Source organism: Homo sapiens, chromosome 5 (genome assembly GCF_000001405.40).
Source record: "Homo sapiens chromosome 5, GRCh38.p14 Primary Assembly".
Classification (NCBI taxonomy): Eukaryota; Metazoa; Chordata; class Mammalia; order Primates; family Hominidae; genus Homo; species Homo sapiens.
This window is the reverse complement of record NC_000005.10, coordinates 83,701,841-83,723,356: the sequence shown is the minus strand read 5'-3', so window position 1 is coordinate 83,723,356 and position 21,516 is coordinate 83,701,841. Positions and strand designations below refer to the sequence as shown.

General features: G+C 38.8%; 1 protein-coding gene and 1 pseudogene across 3 annotated transcripts in view, besides 1 other annotated feature; one reads left to right on the top strand and one right to left on the bottom strand.

Annotated features, from left to right (window-relative positions):
- Positions 858-917: a silencer, noted in NCBI's record as "silent region_16156". NCBI's record gives its function as "represses an Ori minimal core promoter by ATAC-STARR-seq in GM12878 lymphoblastoid cells {active_cell/tissue: GM12878}" and the evidence as "EXISTENCE:reporter gene assay evidence [ECO:0000049][PMID:35858748]".
- The window catches only part of HAPLN1 (hyaluronan and proteoglycan link protein 1), an 83,051-nt gene continuing 64,036 nt past the window's right edge, over positions 2,502-21,516 (top strand). For all 3 annotated transcript variants that reach the window (XM_017009053.2, NM_001884.4, XM_017009051.2), the window contains exon 1: positions 2,502-2,568. The gene's annotated coding sequence lies outside the window, so the exon portion shown is untranslated. The remainder of the gene's footprint in view (positions 2,569-21,516) is intronic.
- RNU6-620P (RNA, U6 small nuclear 620, pseudogene) lies at positions 19,814-19,909 on the bottom strand (annotated as a pseudogene).

The following is a 21,516-nucleotide window of genomic DNA, read 5'->3' as shown; positions in this document are numbered from 1 at the left end:
TGGGTGGTTATTAAACAATTTCAGAAGAGAATACATTAAATTATCTTAATGTTGTGCCGGAATAAGTGTATAGAGCAGACCACAAAATAGGGGAACAAGTGCCAGCCATGAGCCAGCTGATTTGATTTACGCTCCAGGCAATCGCCAGAAATTAGGTTGTTAAGCTGAGGGAACAAGATCGGTATTTAAACTGTCTTTATATGATATCATAGCCACACACCACCAGCCTTACCACCTTTATGGTGCTTTAATATAAAAATTGGATATTTGTTTATAAGTCTAATTCGTTTATGTTCTTTAAAATACACACCACCCTGAACGTTTACAAGAAATATGAATAGCATAAAAACCCTTTGCATAGTTGAAAAGCCGAGATGTATCTTATTTTTATTGGCAGTTAATGTAGAGGCCTATATAACAGCTGCCTCAATAGCCACTAGATTAGGGACATAAAACTGCAAAACCTGTTCCCTGTGCGGGAGGGGAAACAGAAAAATAAGAGAAGCGCCCTCACCCAGGTTTTGGAATTCCAAGAAAGGTGTTGAACGCCTGATGAAGAATTCATTTTGAATATAACTGTCTTCATTTAGGGAGGGTGTGTGAGTGTTCCGTTTGTCTTTGAAATGAAACCTTTCCAAGAGGCACGTGTTGATTTACCAAAGACAGAATGGCAAGGGGGAGCCCAGAGGCAAGAACTGGTGAAATCTCTCAGAAGACGCGGGAAGAAGCCTTTTTTCCCCTGCAATCTCTCCCGCCTCTCTCCAGAGTCCAGGAGGAGGCAGTCCCCGTGGCTTAGGCTTTATCTTTAAGACAATAGCGCCGCTCGCCGCCACCCGCGCGACTCGGATCGGGCATCCCGGCGGCCGCACCCCGCGCGCTGGCTCATCTGCACACCGGCCACCTGCATTGTCGGCCAGAGCCCCCGTCCCGGCGGCTTCCCCAGCAGCTTGGCTGCCCCTCAGGTCCTCCCATCCCACCTTGCACCTCCAGGACGCCCTGGACCCGCCCATCCTCCTGCCCCACTAGCTCATCGACTTACGACTCCCTCAGTCCCTACGGCCCACGGAACCCTCTCCCCAACCCGCGCCACAGCCCGAGCGGCGGCGGCGGCCTTAAGAAGCCCGCAGTCCCGCCCGCGCCGCCCCGCCGGGGCCGGAGGTTGGAGCCGGGAGCACGGCCGCGAATCCCCGCACGTCCCCAGCGCTCCGCGACACCGGGCCCTGCTCGCTGCAACTCGGGGACGGCCTGCGTCTCGCCTCCACCCTGGCCGCGGGCCCCTCGAGCTTGTTTGCTTGTCCTCAGTCCCAGGGCCAGCCCCGCTCCCTCCTCCCGGCTGCTCCAACAGCCGTTTGCTTCCTGCGGTGTGTTTCTTTTTTCCCCTTCCTAGACTCCATCAAAGGTGGCTCTGTTATTGAAATATGAAGCCATTTCCTCTCCAAAACCCTTGGTTACTCAAGGCGGGAATCAATGGACCTATATACTCTCCCAGAAGTTATAAATAAACGTCTATTTGTTCAGGAGGCGTTTTCCCGCGTGTCCCAGCATCTTCCCCACTGGTTATTTCAGGGGTGTGTGTGTCTGTGTGTGTGTGTGTGTGTGTGTGTGTGTGTGTGTGTGCGCGCGCGCGCCCTGTGCCCATCTGGTTCTAATCCTGGTTATGGATCCACAACCCAACCCCACCCATCCCGTCTCCCCCTCGCATTCCTCGTTCTATAAATAAATCCAGGTTCTTTGAGCTCTGTCATCCAAGGATACAATAGCAGTTGTTTGTTAAGAGAAATTTAAACTCAACACCAATACTGAGTCCAGTAAACCAGAAAATATGCTTCTGGTGATTTGGGTGGAAGGCCATCTCCAGTTTAAGAAGCTTTATGTGCCACTATCATCATTGTCTGTTATCCTTGATCTCCTTTGGTGAGGGGAAGGCGGGAAAGAGAGGACCTCTCCGACCCTTGGATTTTTCTTTTAAGCAGAGGCTAATAAAACAAAGCGCAAACTGACTGTCCTGAGGAGTCTGCTCACACCGCTGCCCCGCAGATCATTCCACAGACCCCTTGTCCCATCCCTTCTGGACAGACCCAGGACTGATGAGGGTTCGGGTTCGGGAGGTGTGGTGTGGTGGGGGCTTGTGTGGCTGTAGCGGCCGGCTTTCCTAAACCCCAGAGCGGGATACTCGGGATCTGAGCAGAGGGGAAAGTCATCTAAGAGGCTGCTGCTTTACAAGGTCTGGGCACAGAGCTGCCCCTCCCTTCCTCCCTGAAGTTTGCATGAAGTGCACATTAGGCTGTAATTAGGGGATTTGGGAGGAGAACTTTCCTGGTGACGCTTTGCTTTTCTTCTGCTCTTGGTGAGAAAGTGCCTCCTTCTTCCCAGGATCAGGACCTCTGCCATCCAGCGCCACAAAGAGACATTCTGCACACACACTCACACACGCACACACACACACACTCTCACACTCGCCCAGAGACAAACTTAAGGTGAGGAGAAAGAGCGCTAGCTTCACTTGATCTCCAGCTTCCAACTTAAGCAGAACTTGAGAGCATCCGAACTCCTGGATTTCAGGACAAGGTAAAACTTGCAAATTGTTTCCCCCTCTTTTGGTTATACCTTTGTGCCTTTAAGATTTCAGAGGGCAATACACATGCAATGTATATATACATTAAACAAATTTTATTCTTTTCTTTTGAGTTTAGTTTTCATTTGAATTTAATATGACACCTCAACTTTTAAAAAAGTTTCATATTGTCGGATAAAATATTTCACTACAATAAACAGGCTCAGTCTAAAAATGGAGAAAGAATTAACTCTAGTATCTTAGCTTCTGCTAGTGCTCCTGTAAATCTGGTAGGGTCATGGTTTCCAAGTGGTGACTTTTCTATCTGTATCTCAACAACCATTTTTATAGCACCTGAGATGAAACAAGGATAGTATAGGCTGAAGGGAAAGGTGAGGAATGGGAATGTCCAGCCAGGCTTATGAATTTTGTTTCAGAGAATATATAGGGTTATGTGAAAAAGAAAGTTACTTTAGGCATAGGTAATACCTGTTAGATTAATAATCTTAGAAATGTTGCCATTTTTGGCCCAGGCTTCCTTCTCCAGCTAATTATGAACTTAAGATCATAGAATGATGATGCATTTCATATATACAATGATGTTGATGGATAATTTGAATGCACTGAAGAGAATTTATAGTCATAGTTAAGATTACTGTTAAAAGTTGCTTAAAGAAATTATTTGTATGTTGAGACTGTTCCCCACCAAAAACAAACCTAAACTTGTTTGGGCTTCGATTAAGTAGTTTTCTTCCATTGAATGTGACTGTTGTGTTCAAAATAAGATGGCTTATTAATTTGAGAATAAGTTGCTTTATTTTCATTTATCACTGGAAAAATACACACAGTGGCCAGTACATTTGGGAATTTTTAGGGTGGAAAGTGTTCCTGTACATGTTCCAGTGTGATGTCATAAAATCAAACATACTGGCTGGCTTCTTGGAAGCTAATAGTTCTTAAGAAATTAAGGCTGTGGATTGATTTCTAAATGAATGTAATATTTATTCATTACAATTGTAGTTTCTGGTAACTATTTCTATGTGATTATTTCTGTGTACTAAATTTGCAGAGATTTTATACACATTTCAGTCATTTCAGTATTTTAATGGAATGGGAATATTGTTCTATCAAAAGTATATCATAGTAGTTATCTTTGGAGAATTTTTAATGTGATATGATTCATAATTCTTATATCAGTTAACAAATTCCATTTACCTACAAAAATGAAAGTTTCTCTTCCATTCAGTAAAATATAATGTATACCAAAGGACTCTTCAGATATTAGCTTTAGTCTTTAGTCACTTTTATACCACCCATTTTAAAAAATTTAATTGTTTCAGCTAAGAAATGAATTTATACTTTTGTTGATGACCTCTTCCACTAAATTGGAAACAGCTTAAAAACAGAACTAGATAAGAAGTAATTTTACTTAAGGCTAATTAAATGAACAAGAGATAACCAACAACCTCAACAGACCACTGCTCTACAGGAGGAATGTACCCAGAGGCCAGTATTCTCGACAGGAATGCCTTATGGGCCTGGGCTTTCTATGAGAAACAAGAAGGTGGGGAAACATTATGTACTTATTTATAAAATGAGCCATTTATTTTCAGCAAGGCCCTGTCTCTCAGAGGAATGACTGACACTGTAATTTAGAAGTACTGAAGAGACTTTCACAGAGAAGAATCAATTCATTATATCCCTAGTGGTTTCACTTCCTTTTCCTTCCTTTGGGAGCAAGTAACACATCCAGGATAAATACATTCAGAGTACACAGAAAGATACTTTATGAGTAAACGGTCTACTAAACAATCCTGCCTTTTAGCATCTTAGGTGTGGAATATTGGTATTTTCTGAACAGTTGAAGAAGTCCTTTGAATCTTAAGATAGCAATGCACTTCATCTTTGTAAAGATGAACAAAAGTTATATTCAGAAAATGACTCCCTTCCTTAGAAAATACTAGTTTTCTTTTTCATTTCTTTTTGCCCCATGCACATTTTATTTTTCAGATTGCATTTTTAAGATCATGATCTCTCACCAGTTAAAATTCTGACGAAATACCAGGCAAATTTGAAAATAATTTTGATAGTGCTTCAAATTAATTTTCTGACATCCTGCAGCCATGAGTAGTAACCATAGTACTTAGTCTATGTCATTTAAGTGTACTTAGCCTGTCATTTAAAGGTAGCAAAATGCTGTTGGAAGAAGTAGGAAAGGATGGAAACCTGAATATACTTAGGATTTTAATCAATAGTGTTTAAGGAGGATTAGAGGAAACAGCTGGTTAAACAATTATTAGGAGTAGAGAGGACGAGGTGGTATAAATTAATAATGCATCTCTTTATTTACACTGAATGGGAGGGTCTGTGGTGGTTAACTGTGTGAAGCATGGTCCCTGTGTGCCACCTAGTGGATAAGTCAAAGAAGGCTTTCTCACCGGCTTCTTAAAATACTCTGACTCCCTCGGTTGACGTTTGTTGAACATTAACTACACGCCAGACATTGGGATAGGTGCTCAGGGTAGAAACTAAAGCAAGTGATGTTTATATAAGTTAAAAATTAAGGTACAACTAAACAGTTTATGAAATCCCTACTGGTTGTATTTAAGATCACTTTACTCTTTGTTGGATACTTTACCATTAACTTTCCGCCTCCACAAGGATATAGCTTAATAACTGCAACTCACTTCTAATATAGGATTTGTTTTAGACAGACAGGTCATGGAATTGTTCAAGGACTGGTGGAAAGAGTTTGACCATCTTAAATCACTGTTCCTGAAATAGAAATAAATTTCTCTAAGGTTTAATGTTACTGAATTTAGTTGGGAAAATAACTACTAGCTTAAAAGGTTACCACACAGCTGCACATTTTGTTTCATATTCTTTGATTTTTTTATTAAATTGGAAAGGATAGTAGTACAAGTTGTTTTTGAGTAATGAGGTCTATTTTATAAAATATTGCTCTCAAACACTAATAATTAGCATGTAAAACAACTTCATCTATACTTGTTGTTCACTTGGAGTTTTGAAGCAGGAACCTGGCTTCCATGAAGTTGATCTAATAGAAAAAAAATTCTAGACAAAAACAATTACATGGAAAACCACCACTTGAAGGAAGCATTAAGATACCATAGAAGATTAGTCCATTTGAGTATTGCACTGAGAGCTTTAAAAACCTTTTCTTTAAAAGATATACGAATTATCACTCCAACTGGCTCTTTGCAAGTTATGTGACAATTGCAACAGTGATCAGGACAATCAGCATTAATCAATACAAGTTGTGAAATTCATATAGGAAGGTAAAATGCCTCAGTAGAAAAAAATGATGAATTTGTTACTTGGGGAGCTTTGTAGGTGTAATCCAAAAATAGAGTTAGGCGTGCTGTTGTGGAATGGAAGTTTCCTCTTTGGAAGAGTTTGGTTTTTGTATGGCAGGGAAACCTACACAGTGAAAGAAGGAGACCCGCTCATTAAGTTGTTTTTCATTAATATCACAAAATTATAACCTGTGCTGATTGGAGGTACTGTTTGGAATTAGCATCATCAATTATATAAAATAAAGCAGATTATCTTAATCTTTATTTCCAGTAGATCATTATCTACCAGGAAAAAAACACATTCTGTTAATAATTTCATTGGATCATCCTTGTGATTTAGAATGAATTGCATACTCATTCTAGTGAGAGAGCTAGTGAGAGACTGCCTAAAAGTCAGAGGTCCTTAAAGTAGAAGTTTAATCATAACTTTTCTAGTTTTTGTTTTTTTTTCCTTGAGATGGAGTCTTGCTCTGTCACCCAGGCTGGAGTACAATGGCGTGATCTTGGCTCACTGCAACCACCACTCCCCAGGTTCAAGCGATTCCCCTGCCTCAGCCTCTCGAGTAGCTGGGACTACAAGCATGTGTCACCATGCCCGGCTAATTTTTGTATTTTTAGTAGAGACAGGGTTTCACCATGTTGGCCAGGTTGGTCTCGAACTCCTGACCTCAGGTGATCCACCCGCCTCGGCCTCCCAAAGTACTGGGATTACAGGCATGAGCTACCATGCCCAGCCTTCTTTTAAAGTTTTCTGCCATGTTACAAGAAGTTTTAATGATTTCGGATGACTTAAGGATACTAGACAAGAACAAACTTTACAAGAGAAAACCAGCCAAGCTCTCTGAAATGGTCTGATGCTTATAGTTATATTGCCTTTGCTCCACATAATAACTTCTCCCACTGATAGAGACATGGAAGGAGATAGCTGTTATTAAGAGTTTTTAGCTATGTGTCTCAGAGATAGCCAGAATTTAAGTATCAAATGTTGCTGACTATTTTGAGACTCCACTGATTGTTTTACGGCTTAACAGGGGTGACACCTGAGATCAGGGTATTGCTACAAGACCAGGAGACTATTTACAAAACAAAAAGAAAAATTCAGAGTAAAAATAACTTGGAAAACTTACTAAAGTTAAAGGGCTGGTTCTCAATCTGTTTAAGACAACAGAAATTTTCCCTTCTGCCCAATCTAACATCCAAAAAGAACACAATTTACTCTACTGGTTACTAAATTCCAATTACTATAATATCCAATTAAATTAAATAATATTCAAATTATGTTTATGGTAAGTCTAGATTTCCCTAAGCCTTTCACAAAGTCTTATGGATATTCCTTGGTTTTGTCTTCATTCATACTCTGTGAATTTTTTTTCTCATTTTCGCTCTGTTATTTTGAATTTGGAGGATCACCTCATTTGATCATTCATTTATTCATTTGTTTATTCAACAAAAATGTATTGAGCACTGGCTATTTACCAGGCACTGTGCTAGTCCCATGTGATCCCCCTCATTTTACACTATGAAAATCCATTCTAAAATAATCAGAAAGTCAAAACTGATGTCATAAACCCGAAATGTTACAAGGTCCTGAAATGTACTTTGAGTAACAAAAATAACCAAAAAGTTCTGGCCTCATAGTTTTGGTATTAAGAAAATTTTGAGCATGCATTTTTAAAAATTATTTTCCCTTGTGTGCAAATGCTGAGCTGAGTGGATAACAGCTTTGTTTCTTGGCTGTGTGGACACAGATGGGCCTGGAAAGGCAGTTCTGACACTCCAAAACCCCAAGAGGACTAGGGTTCCAATAATATGTCTGCTTGGATGGACAGGAAACACAAAAATGCATTTGCACAGAATTGTTGTCCACCAGTATGAAACTAAAGTTCAGATTAAGCAAGAATGATTTAGTGCTTACCATTTGCACCAGGCAGGCACCACGCTAGGTGTTGCATAGTAATTGGCTCAAGGAGTTCACAAACCAGTGGAGGAGACAGATGGATACGCATCATGAATCACTAGTAAAATTTGCCAAGTAGGTGAAATTTGCCTTCCTAATTTCCTGGCTCCCTTTCTTTGCATTTACCCAAGCCTTCTAACCCCTCTATCTCATAAACCGAGACTCCTGCTCTCTACCCCTGCATCCCAGAGGATCTGATAGTTCTCTGGTTTATTGATTTCTTGACTACATTTAATTGTGAATGAGGTTCACTCATGCATTACACTTAAGTGTGAATGAGTTTCACTCATGCATTTACAATTTAAGTCCTTTATTTCTTTAAAGTAAATGTTTTGTTTTCTGTAAAAAGAATTTTAAACATCTGGGAGCCTTCCCATCCTTACACCAAAGGGTGTAATTAAGCCTCATTGAATCCCCCAAGGTCTTCAGTCTCTCAGTTATCTCCACTCCCTGTGTGAGAACAGATGGATTCCCTCAAGGCCTGTTTCCTTCCAGAAATGTGAAGGACCATGTTAACTACTGGCTCCTTTCAGCTGAGCCTGATCAACCTGTTCTTCCACCTCCCCTAGCGCTTTAGCCAGACAGATCTCTCTTCCCTTTGCCCCAAGGGGCATCCAACATCCATCCTGTTTTAACATTCCTGTTCACTTTGCCTTAATCTCTGCTCTTGATCCCCTCAGCCCTTCATGACAGTGCTTCAACTGTGGCCCCTGGACAGGTAGCGCATCCATAGCTTCTTAAGTTCTACAGTTTCGAGCCCTTATGCCACCCCAAATATCCAGGTTTAGTGGGAGGGAGCAGTGAGAATCCACATACTTGGTCCAAGAATTCCTCAAAGTCGTGGAGATGAAAAAGGAATATGCATAGGAGAAGCACAGGAATCAGCCATCATGTTGAAAATACGGGTCAAAGCCAACATCTTTTAAAAATATTTTCTCAGGTATGTAAGTACAGTAAAATTGGTTTCAGAGACATTTCAGTGTTGATGCTGATCATAGCTTCTGGAAAACTATGAAAAAAAAGAAAACAGTGAAAATCTGCTTTGGCTTTATAAAAGTGACATGAATCAGAGTCATTTGTTTAAATATCTTCTCAGTTTATGTTTAATTAGCATAATCATAGCCATATTTTATTAAGTATTTCATTAATTTATGTAGTTTTTTTTATTATACCCCATTAGATTATGCTACCATCGTTTGGTGCTCTTGTAAGCTATTGTTCTGGTCTTACAACATAAAGATGTGCTCACAGCCTATTAAATTTCTAGGACTGATGACCCTGATTTAGAGAGGTGATTTCCTTTCGTGTCTTTCCAGTAGCCTAGAGGAGAGGGGTCATTAGCCTGCATTATTCAGCTGGCTTGGAGATACGAATGCCTGACATCCTGTTGCCGCTGTTGGTGTCCAGCACAGTGCAGAACATGGGGCTTCGGGGGTGTCCTGACTTTCTATCCCAAGTGCCTATATTTCAGATGTCTGAATACCTCCAAACCCAAACCGTTCCCCAGCTCTGTTTTTGTTTCCTTATGTCTCTTCTTACCCAGCAATGTTGTTAAATTTATAAACTCTTTTAAGATGTAAATGATAATCACTACAGTATAAAATTAATCATGTAAATAAAATTAATTGTTAATCTCAGTAAATCTCTAAGGAAAGCAAGACTGGAGGTGGAAAACCCATTCAGAGGTCATCAAAACAGCGTAGGCATGACTGAATGGGATGCATTGACTGGATGTGGACGAGAAGTCTGAGATAGTGTGACTGTTTTAAGGATGGATGATTACCTGAGGAGGGATGCAATTGACTAAGATTAGGAATATAGGAAGAATAGAAGTTTCTGGGAGAAAATGATTAGTCTAATTTAGGAAGAAGTGCCAACAGGACAGCCAAAAACTCATAGGAGTTGAATGCACATTTCTTAAGTACATGGGAGAAGTCATGGCTGGAAATGGAGATTTGGAAGACTCTGGCATTAAAATGGTAGTTGAAAATCATCTGGAAGAGAGAAGGGATCGATCATCCCAGGGATATACTAAGGGAGAAGCAGTTAACCAAGAACTGAAACCCAGGGAAGAATTAGTAAGAATGAGTTTTGACATGATTAATGCATGAATTTAACTTTTTATTTTATTAACTATAAATATCCACTCAGTTGGATAACAGCAATGTTTATTAATCCTTACATCTCACAGTCCTAGTCAGTCCTCTGCATATAGAAGGTGCCAGACATGTTTGTTGAATTAAAGGAAATTAAAATGGTATTTCCGTGCCTTGAAGCTCTAATGACAGATTTTCATAATGATAACCCTGAGTAAGACCCCAAAATGTCTAGATTATAGTTGTTTATTACATTTTGTCCAATACCGAACTAACTTTAAATATATGTTGCTGCATTTTGTTGTTTAAAAATCAGTAATCAATGTGTGGTGTAGATGGTAATTCACCAGAGTACTTGATTAACCATAGCCCATGTTGTTTAGCTTACCATATAAATGAGTTTGCCACAGAATGCAGACTAATTCAAGTCTATTTATAATTCGTTTTCTAATTCCTTGATTCTGAAGGCTTCTAAATCTTAGGTCAGATTTGTAGTCCATAATCCTGGATTTCTCTGGACTTCTCAGCAACTTCCTTTTTTTTTTTTTGTCCAGGTTCTCCTCCCTCCCCTTATAGGACTGCTTGATAAAATACAAAAAAAAAATTCAATCATTCAATAACTTTAAGTATTACCCCAATATTTCATGGGACATATTTATACCAAAAAAAATTCTTGTTTTTCTAAAGTTCAATTTTAACTGGATATTCTGTATTTTTTTAACTAAACCTGACAACCCTATCCCCTACTTAAAGTTACTGTAACTAGAATATGCCAACAAAATTTTTTCATGAAATTTCTGAACACTCTCCTTCTACAGGCCAATGAAAAAAGTCACAGATTTTACTAGCGAGATAAATATATTAAAAAGATGATCTAAATAAAATTTTTGATCTAAAATATACTGATCAAGATGCAAACTTACAGAGCATTTATAACTATGACATTATATACACTATGTGCTAATAATTATCCTGAGAATGCCATCAATGTATATTCATGATCATGTTTTTTATTCTAGCTAAAATATTTTAAAATAATGTACATATTAGAAAATTAAACTTTTTATGTGCTCCATTTTCAAGTCAGCAATAACGATAAAACAAAATAATCATTTTTAAATTAAGGACCATACATTCAGAAAAAAATATATATAATATACAACAGGTATAAATTCTAACTGCAGAATACCTGAAAGGATCTTGACCCTTGTTAATTACATGTTATATTGTGCTTGTGCTGCCACCTTGTGACACTTTGAGGTATTACCCAATGTAAAAGTCCAGCTTGACCATTTGGTCAATGTTAACATGATTCCTCATCCTTACATGATTAATATTTTCACTTTACCTAAATTGCTGTATAATTTAATACAGAGAAAGTAACTTCAAGTATGTAATGCAAATATTTTCTGAGTCTGTCTGCAAATTAGTATATCATTCTTGAGTCAATCACTAAATTATAATTTATTCAGTACTGTCTGAATTTGTTTTATGGATAAATTTAGTTGTGTCTGTATGTGTGTTCAGTTTACTTGACCTTTCAATCTGAATTTCCCATAGCTTCATGAACTTAACATTTCCAGAATTGAGCTCATTATTTTCCTTTGACCAAGCCTAGTTCGTGTCATCTCTCTTTATATATATCAAGACAATAAAATGTGTTAGTCAAACCAGAACACTTTTAAGAGTCAAAGGGGATGGCTTACTAATCATGATAACAAAAAAGGCATAAACAAAGACCATCCCAAGGAAACTGGTCACTTACATATAATTTAAAAATAATTATAGTACCAATCACCCAAACTAGAAAATTTGTTGTTCTCAACTACGGGTCCAGGGCAGTGAACTGGAATCTTTATCTCAGATTTTCTTCATTCCTCCTACCTATTCATTCCCTTTCATCTTCACTTCTTTCTTTCTTGTCCATCATGCTTGCCAGCGTTCTCCATGTCCTTGTTCTGTTGTTTGCAAAGGGATCCAAAAAACAAAATCTTTTTTCATGATGAATCTAACTGCCCCCGTCCTCCACACTTGCTCCAATTTTCTGGGAACTGCTAAGAAAAGTAAATATCACCCTGCAGAATGGGACAACTTTAGAACTTTATGGTATTTGATGTCAGCTGTATCTTTCATGCTTTATGGCAGTTCTACCATATTTCTTAAAAGTCCATTGTTTCTTGAGCCCTGTAGCAGATGTGCAAGCCTCTCTAATTCACATGGAAAATAGAAGCCACCCTCTCACTGTCTTGCCTAAAACTAGCCTCTGGTCTGTACCCCCAATGCATTATCTCTTTTTTCCTTTTTGTAGAATAATATTTTTTTAAATCTCCTTTACCTCGAAGAGCCCAGTGTGGATGTTGCCCCCGAGCTCTGGATCTCATTTCCTCCAGTTTTCTTGGATAAATCTCTATTTATTAGATCTATTCTCTCTTGTATTATCAACCTCTCCCACTCTGGTTATTTTTCTTTTTTTTTCTTTTTTGAGACGGAATCTCTCTCTGTCGCCCAGGCTGGAGTGCCATGGCGTGATCACAGCTCATTGAAACCTCTGCCTCGTGGGCTCGAGCAGTTTTCCTGTCTCACCCTCCAGAGTAGCTGGGACTACAGGCGCCTGCCACCACACCTGGCTAATTTTTGTATTTTTAGTAGAGACGGGGTTTTGCCATGTTGGTCAGGCTGGTCTCGAAATCCTGACCTTGGGTCATCCACCCGCCTCTGCTTCCCAAAATGCTGGGATTACAGACATGAGGCACCGCCCTCAGCCTATTTTTCTTATTGGCATTTCATCACAGTCAAATCTTCTTTATCTTAAAAACATAAACCTTTTCTAATGTCACATACCTTCTGTCAATCTTTCTCCTTTTCATGAGAGCCACTTTTTTTTTTCCTGAACTACCTATGTTCACTGTCTATCCCCTCACCCCCATCCTCTCCTCAACTTACTGTAATGAGCTTTCTCCCACAGCTACTCCATTGAAATGCTCCTCAGCAAGGTCAACAATTACTTTTTTTCAGTGCTTTTTTTGTGGCATTTTAATACTGGTGACCATGTTCCCTTCACAACAATCTCTACCTTGGGCTTTGTGGCGTCATTCTTTCCTAGATTTCAGGCTTCTATGGTTAATCTATCTCAGTCTCCATTTCAGGCTTCTAAAGAGAAGTCTACCGGCCTCTTGGCTGTTTGTATTTCAATGGCTTCTGCCCAAGATGCTTGTCCCCACCCTACATATTCTCCCTGTGCACTTCCATCTACGTCCATGCATCACACTGCACTCAGCTATGTGCTGGCGACTCCCACATCTTTAGATCTATCCAGTGAGTGTCTAAACCACCTGCACTAGCACATCTCACAAACCTGTCAAATTCCACAAGTCCATAATGAAGTCTTTTTCTTTCTTCTGAATTTGAACCACCCCAATTTTATCTAGTTTAGTAAATAGCACCATTTTCTCTCCACTCCGTTTTCAAAAACAGGAACATAGGAGTCATCCTATGGATTCTGTCTCATAAATATCTCTCTCCATTAGCATAAATCCTGACCTTCCTTATCATCCTCTCTTACTGAATTCCTGCAAACCTCACCCATCAGTCTCTATGTCTCCCATCTTGTTACTTTCTAATTTATTCCCTCACACTGAAGCTAGAGTCACTGTTCTAAAGTGTAAATATGAAAATATCTCCCCACTTAAAGTGCTTCAATGTCTTTTCATTGCTGTGACAATTAGGTCCAAATTATTTTAAGTGATTTGCAAGGTTCTTAGTGACCTGGCTTGAGCTCTTAGCTGGAAAGCAGCCTCATCTAAACTTACCCAATACAGTATGTTCACTCTCTGGGTGATGGGATCAATAGAAGCCCAAACCTCAGCATCATGCAGCATACCCTTGCAACAAACCAGCACATGCACTCCCTGAATCTAAAATAAAAATGGAAATTTTGTAAAATAAATAAATTAATTAAATAAAATTACCCAATATACTAGCTGACAGGATTCAATGACCGAAAAAGCCAAGATAGTAAAACAGAAAATAGAAATAGACCAATAGGAGATGTAAATATTAGGCTTTTCAGACATAGGCTTTATGTGATTAATATGCTTAAGAAATTAGATTATTTTTAGGAGAGCATTTTGCCTTTTATTTACTGTGTAAAAAGAACATTTGCCCAATATGAAAATAGGCAATACAGAAAAATACAAGCACACTACTTACACATTTAGTTAGTTGAATTCCAGATATCTCTGTGAGTTTAGAGAAATACATGGCTAGAAAGATAAACTGGGCTGAGCACGGTGGCTCACGCCTGTAATCCCAGCACTTTGGGAGGTCTGGAGTTCAAGACCAGCCTGACCAACATGGTGAAAACCCGTCTTTGCTAAAAATACAAAAAAAATTATCAGGGCATGGTGGCACATGCCTGTAGTCCCAGCTACTCGGGAGACTGAGGCAGGAAAACAGCTTGAACCTTGGAGGGAAGGTTGTAGTGAGCTGAGATCACGCCGCTGCACTCCAGCCTGGGTGACAGAGACTGTGTCTCAAAAAAACAGAAAAAAAGAAAAGAAAAGAAAAGACAAAAGATAAACTGATAATTTTTAGATGTTTTATAGAAATGTTTTCATACTCCTCCTGCTGTTTCAAAGTGTAAATATTTTTAATGTAGCAGAAGGAAGAGTATCTACTATGTAAGTAAAATACTTATTCTAATTTAGAATCCTTTTTTTTAACTTTTAGTTTAGTGGATACATGTAAAAGTTTGTGATATAGGTACTGGTGTCATGGGGGTTAGTTGTACAGATTATTTCATCATCCACATACTAAGTCTAGTACCTAATAGTTACTTTTTCTGCTCTTTTCCCTCTTCCCAACCTCCACCCTCAACAGACCCCATTGTCTATTGTTCCCTTCTTATAGTTCATGAGTTCTCATCATTTAGCTCCTACTTATAAGTGAGAACATATAGTATTTGGTTTTCTTTTCCTGTGTTAGTTTGCTAAGGATAATGGCCTCCACCTCCATCCATATTCCCACAGAAGACATTATCTTGTTCTTTTTTATGGCTGCATAGTATTCCATGGTGTATATGTATCCCATTTTCTTTATTTAGTCTGTCATTAATGGGCATTTAGGTTGATTTCATGTCTTTGCTATTGTCAATAGAGCTGCAATGAATATACGTGTGCAGGTATCTTTATGGTAGAATGATTTATATTCCTCTGAGTATATCCCCAGTACTGGGATTGCTGGGTGGAATGGTAGTTCTGCTTTAGCTCTCTGAGGAGTCACCATACTGCTTTCCGCAATGTTTGAACTAACTTACATTCCCTCCAACAATGTATAAGTGTTCGCTTTCCTCCACAACCACACCAGCATCTGTTATTTTCTGACTTCTTAATTATAGCCATTCTGACTGTGTGAGATGGTGTCTCATTGTAGTTTTGATTTGCATTTCTGTAATGACCAGTGATATTGAGCTTTTATAACATATGCTTGTTGGCTGCATGTATGCCTTCTTCGGAAAATTCTGTTGACGTCCTTTGCCCACTTTTAAATGGGATTGGTTGTTATTCTCCTTTTTCTCCTGTAAATTTGCTTAAGTTCTTACAGATGTATAGTTTGCAAACATTTTCTCCCATTCTGCAGGTTGTTTACTCTGTTCACAGTTTATTTTGCTGTGCAGAAGCTCTTAAGTTTAATTGGATCCCATTTGTCAAATTTTGCTCTTGTCGTGATTGCTTTTGGTGTCTTTGTCATGATATCTTTGCCTGTTCCTGTTTCCAGGATGGTATTGCCTCGATTATCTTCCAGGGTTTTTACAGTTTTTAGTTTTACATTTAAGTTTTTAATTAATCTTGAGTTGATTTTTGTATATGGCTTAAGGAAGAGATCCAGCTTCAATCTTCTGCATATCGCTAGCCAATAATCCCAGCACCACTTATTGTATAGGGAGTCTTTTCCCCATTGCTTGTTTTTATCAGTTTTGTCAAAGATCAGACGGTCATAGGTGAGTGGTCTTGTTTGGGGACTTTCTATTCTGTTCCATTGCACTATGTGCCTGTTTTTGTACCAATACTATGCTGTTTTGGTTACTGTAGCCCTGTAGTATAGTTTGAAGGTGGGTAATGTGATTCTTCCAGCTTTCTTCCTTTTCCTTAGGACTGCCTTGGCTATTTGGGTTCTTTTGTGGTTCCATATGAATTTTAAAATAGTGTTTTCTAGTTCTGTGAAGACTGTCACTGGTAGTTTGATAGGAATAGCAATGAATCTATAAATTGCTTTGGGCAGTATGGTCATTTTAATGATATATGGATTCTTCCTATCCATAAGCATGTGAAGGATATTTTTCCATTTGTTTGTGTATTCTCTGATTTCGTTGAGCAGTGTCTTGTAATTCTCACCATAGGAATCTTTCACCTCCCTGGTTAGCCGTATTCCTAGGTACTTTGTTCTTTCTGTGGCAATTGTGAATGGGATTGTGTTCCTGATTTGGCTCTTGGCTTGGCTCCTGGTGGTGTATAGGAATGCTAGTGATTTTTGTATGTTTACTTTGCATCCTGAAACTTTGCTGAAGTTATCAGCTGAAGGAGATTTTGAGACAGAACTATAGGGTTTTCTAGACATAGAATCATGTCATCTGCAAACAGAGATAATTTGACTTCCTCTCTTCCTATTTGGATTCCCTGTATTTCTTTCTCTTGCCTGATTGCTGTGGCTAGGACTTCCAATACTATGTTAAATAAAAGTGGTGAGAGAGGGCATCCTTGTTTTGTGCTGGTTTTCAAAGGGAATGCTTCCAGCTTTTGCCCATTCAGTATAATGTTGACTGTGGGTTTGTTATAGATGGTTCTTACTATTTTGAGGTATGTTCCCTCAATACCTAGTTTATTGAGAGTTTTTAACATGAAGCGATGTTGAAATTTATTGAAAGCCTTTTCTGCATCTATTGAGATAATCATGTGGGTTTTGTCTTTAGTTCTGTTTATGTGATGAATCACATTTATTGATTTGTGTATGTTGAACCAGCCTTAAATCGTGGGTATAAAGCCTACTTGAACATGATGGATTAGCTCTTCATGTGCTGCTAGATTCAGTTTTCAAGTATTTTGTTAGGGATTTTTGCATCAATGTTCACCAAGGATATTGGCTTGAAGTTTTTTGATGTTGTTGTTGTGTCTGTCATATTTTGGTATCAGGATGATGCTGGCCTCATAGAATGAGTTGGGGAGGAGTCCCTCCTTCTTGATTTTTTGGAATGGTACAAGCTCTTTCTTGTACAACTGGTGGAATTTCACTGTGAATTCATTTGGCCCTGGGCTTTTGTTTTTTTTTTTTTTCGATTGGTAGGCTATTTATTACTGATTCAATTTTAGAGCTTATTTTTGGTCTTTTTCAGGGAATCAGTTTATTCCAGGTTTAGTTCTAGGAGGGTGCATGTTTCCAGAAATTTATCCATCTTTTCTAGGTTTTCTAGTTTGTGTGCATAGAGGTGTTCATAGTAGTTTCTGATGGTTGTTTTTATTAATATTTCTGTGGGGTCAGTGGTAACATCCTCTTTGTCATTTCTAATCATGTTTATTTGGATATTCTCTCTTTTCTTCTTTATTACCCTAGTTAGCAGTCTTTCGATCTTATTAATTTTTTCAAAAAACCAACTCCTGGATTTGTTTATCTTTTGAGTGTTTTTCTGTGTTTCAGTTTCCTTCCATTTAGCTCTGATTTTGATTGTTTTTTGTCTTCTGCTAGCTTTGGGGTTGATTTATTCTTGCTTCCCTAATTCTTTCAGTTGTGATGTTAGTCATTAATTTGAAATCTTTCCAACTTTTTGATGTGAGAAATTAGTGCTATGACTTTCCCTCTTAACACTGCCTTAGCTGTGTCCCAGAAATTCTGGTATGTTATGTCTTTGTTGTTATTAGTTTCAAAGAACTTAATGATTTCTGCCTTATGCATTATTTACCCAAAAGTCATTCATGAGCACGTTGTTTAATTTCCATGTAATTCCGTGGTTTTGAGCAATTTTCTTTCTTTCTTTTTTTTTTTTTTTTTTTTTTGTGACGTTTCACTCTTGTCACCCAGGCTGGAGTGTAATGGTGCGATCTCGGCTCACTGAAATCTCCGCCTCCCAGGTTCAAGTGGTTCTCCTGCCTCAGCCTCCTGAGTAGCTGGGATTACAGGTGCATGCCACCATGCCCAGCTAATTTTTGTATTTTTAACAGAGACAGGGTTTTGCCATGCTGGCCAGGCTGGTCTTAAACTCCTGACCTCAGGTAATCCAGCTGCCTCAGCCTCCCAAAGTGCTGGGATTACAGATGTGAGCCACTGCGCCTGGCCAAGCAATTTTCTTAGTCTTGACTTCTTTATTTATTGCAATATCGTCTGAGAGTGTGTTTGGTATGATTTTGCTTCTTTTGCATTTGCTGAGCATTGTTTTATGTCTAATTATTGGCTGAGTTTTAGAATGTGCCATCTGTTGATGAGAAAAAAATGTATATTCTGTTGTTTTCGGATGGACAGTTCTGTAGAGGTCTATCAGATCCATTTGCTCCAATGTTGAGTTCAGGTCCTAAATATCTTTGTTAATTTTCTGCCTTGATGATCTGTCTAATACTGTCAGTGGAATGTTGAACTGTCCCACTATTACTATGTTGGAGTCTTATGTCTCTTTGCAGGTCTCTAAGAATTTGCTTTATGAATCTGGGTGCTCCTATGTTGGGTGCATATAAATTTAGGATAGTCAGATCTTCTTGGTGAATTGAACACCTTATTATTATTTAATGCCCTTCTTCGTTAGTTTCTGATCTTTGTTAGTTTAAAGTCTGTTGTTCCAAAATTAGGATTGCAGCTCCTGCTTTTTTCTGGTTTCCATTTGCTTTGTAGATTTTCTTCCATCCCTTTATTTTGAGCTTATGGGTGTTGTTATGTGTGAGGTATCTCTCTTGAAGGCAGCATACCATTGAGTCTTGCTTTTTAATCTAGTTTGTCACTCTGTGCCTTTTAAGTGAGAAATTTATCCCATTTACATTCAAGGTTTGTATTGATATATGTGGATTTGATCCTGTCATGTTGTTAGCTGGTTATTATCCTGACTTGTTTGTGTGGTTGCTTTATAGTGTCACTTGCCTGTATATTTAAGTGTGCTTTTGTATTAACTAGTAGCAGTCTTTCCTTGCCATACTTAGTGCTCCTTTCAAGATCTCTTGTAAGACAGGTCTGGTGGTAACGAACTCCCTAAACATTTGCATATCTGAAAAAGATCTTATTTCTTCTTCACTTAGGAAGCTTAGTTCAGCTGGACATAAAATTCTTGGTTGAAGATTTTTTTTTTTTTTTTGAGACTGTTGCATATAGGCCCCCCAGTCTCTTTTGGCTTGTAAGGTTTCTGCTGACAGGTCTGCTGTTAGTTTGATGGGCTTCCCTTTTCTAGGTGACCTGCCCTTTCTCTCTAGTTGTCTTTAACATTCTTTTTTTTTCATTTTAATCTTCGAAAATCTGATGATCATGTGTCTTTAGGATGTTCTTTTTGTGTAGAAACTTGCAGGGGTTCTCTGTATTTCCTGAAGTCAACTATGGCCTCTCTGGGCCTTTCCCAAAACTTGCCAGAGAGGCCAACAGACAAGTTCAGGAAATACAGAGAACTCCTGCTAGATTCTAGGATGATATCCTGAAATCTGCTTTCCAAGTTGTTGGCTTTCTCCCCATCCCTTTCAGGAATGCCAGTGATTTGTAGATTTAGTTTTTTTACATAATCTCATACTTCTTGGAGGTTTTGTTCATTCTTCTTCGTTCTTTTTTCTTTATAAGTCCTCATAAGTCTGACTGTCTTATTTCAGAGAGACAGTATTCAAGTTCTGAGATTCTTCCCTCAGCTTGGTCTATCATGCTGATAATACTTATGAAAAATATGGAACACTTTACTAATTTGTGTGTCATCCTTGCGCAGGGGCCATGCTAATCATTCCAATTTTAGTGTGTGTGCTACTCAAGCAAGCACAGAAATTAGATATTAAAGTAGAGAATTTTAAAAAAGAACTGGAAACTACAAAAAAACATTCAAATGGAAATCCTAGAACTAAAAACAATGTAATGACTAAAATTAAAACTCAGTACATGAGTTTAGGAAAGTTTAGAAACATTGAGGAGATGATTAGTAAACTCGAAAATAGGTCTGACAAAAGTAACCAGGCTAAAATTGGAGAGAAAAATGAAACTTCCAGGAGCAGGGGGCAGTGGTAGTAAAAGACATGTGAGATATAGAAATAGGCATCTCAGATGGAGTTAACGCAAATGGGGCAGAAAAAATATTTTAGCAATAATGTCTGTGGCTGTCCAACAAGTCACAGATTCAGGAAGCACTGCAATGCCCCAACAGGATAAACACCAAAAAGTAAAACACCCACACCCAGGCATGGCATAAGAAAATTGCTGGAGGCCAGATATGGTGGTTCACACCTGCAATCCCAGCACTTTGAAAGGCTGAAGCAGGCATATCTCTTGAGGTCAAGAGTTCAAGACCAGCCTGGCCAACATGGCAAAACCCCATCTCTACTAAAAATGCAAAAATTAGTCAAGTGTGGTAGTGCATGCCTGTAGTCCCAGCTATTTGGGAGGTTGAGGCGGAGTCTTCAGTGAGTTGAAATTGCTCCGCTGCACTCCAGCCTGGGCAACAGGGCGAGACTGTCTCAAAAAAAAAAGGAAAACTGTTGGGGGAAAAAAAAAGAGGGCATATTGAAAGCTTCCAGAAACAAAAGACACTAGACAGACTAACGAGTAAGAAAATCAGCTAGTTGGAAAATTTCCTTTTCTTTCCACTTTAAGAAATGCCAAAAATCAGTGGGTTGGCTTGACTATGTTCTGAGTAACCCTTATCTTCATGGCCTTATTTCTCTGAGAGACCAAACCCTTCAAGCCTAGAGGGATTATCAGTGTGCCTAGCTCCCTGAAGATGCTGTGCTGAGATAAATTTTAGTGGGGACTCAGTTCCTGCGTCTTTTGTAGATGCTCTACAGTCTTATTGCTAACAAGACAAAATTCTGGAAGCAGTTTGAGATGTTCATATCCATCTTTATCACTATCTAATGTGATTTTAAGTTATAAAAAGAAAAATGATGACTGAAAAGTTTATAATTTATACCGGATATTTGACAATGTTATATCTATTTTTTTAAGCCATGAAAGGCAGGCCAAAGTAAAAGCCAAATTTATCACAAAGATTTCAATCATTAAAATCTCTCAGGATATCTAACTTCTCTTCCCAAACATTTATGCAGTTCTACTCCTCTAATTCTGAGCTTACACACTTCTCTCAAGCAGGAATCCCTTATCATTTTATCCCTCCCACCTGAAACATGGCTCATGCTTGCATCATTCATGTAACACTTCCTCCCGGTAACCTTGCATTGTGCCACTAGCTGGAATTAGTCACTTCTTTCTCATTTCTCTCTTAATATTTTATTCGTACCTCGATTACTTCATATAGATTTTGTGTGTGTGTGTGTGTGTGTGTGTGTGTGTTTTTGTCGAAGTCTCGCTCTGTCGCCCAAGGTGGAGAGCAGTGGAGCGATCTCGGCTCACCGCAACCTCCGTCTCCCGGGTTCAAGC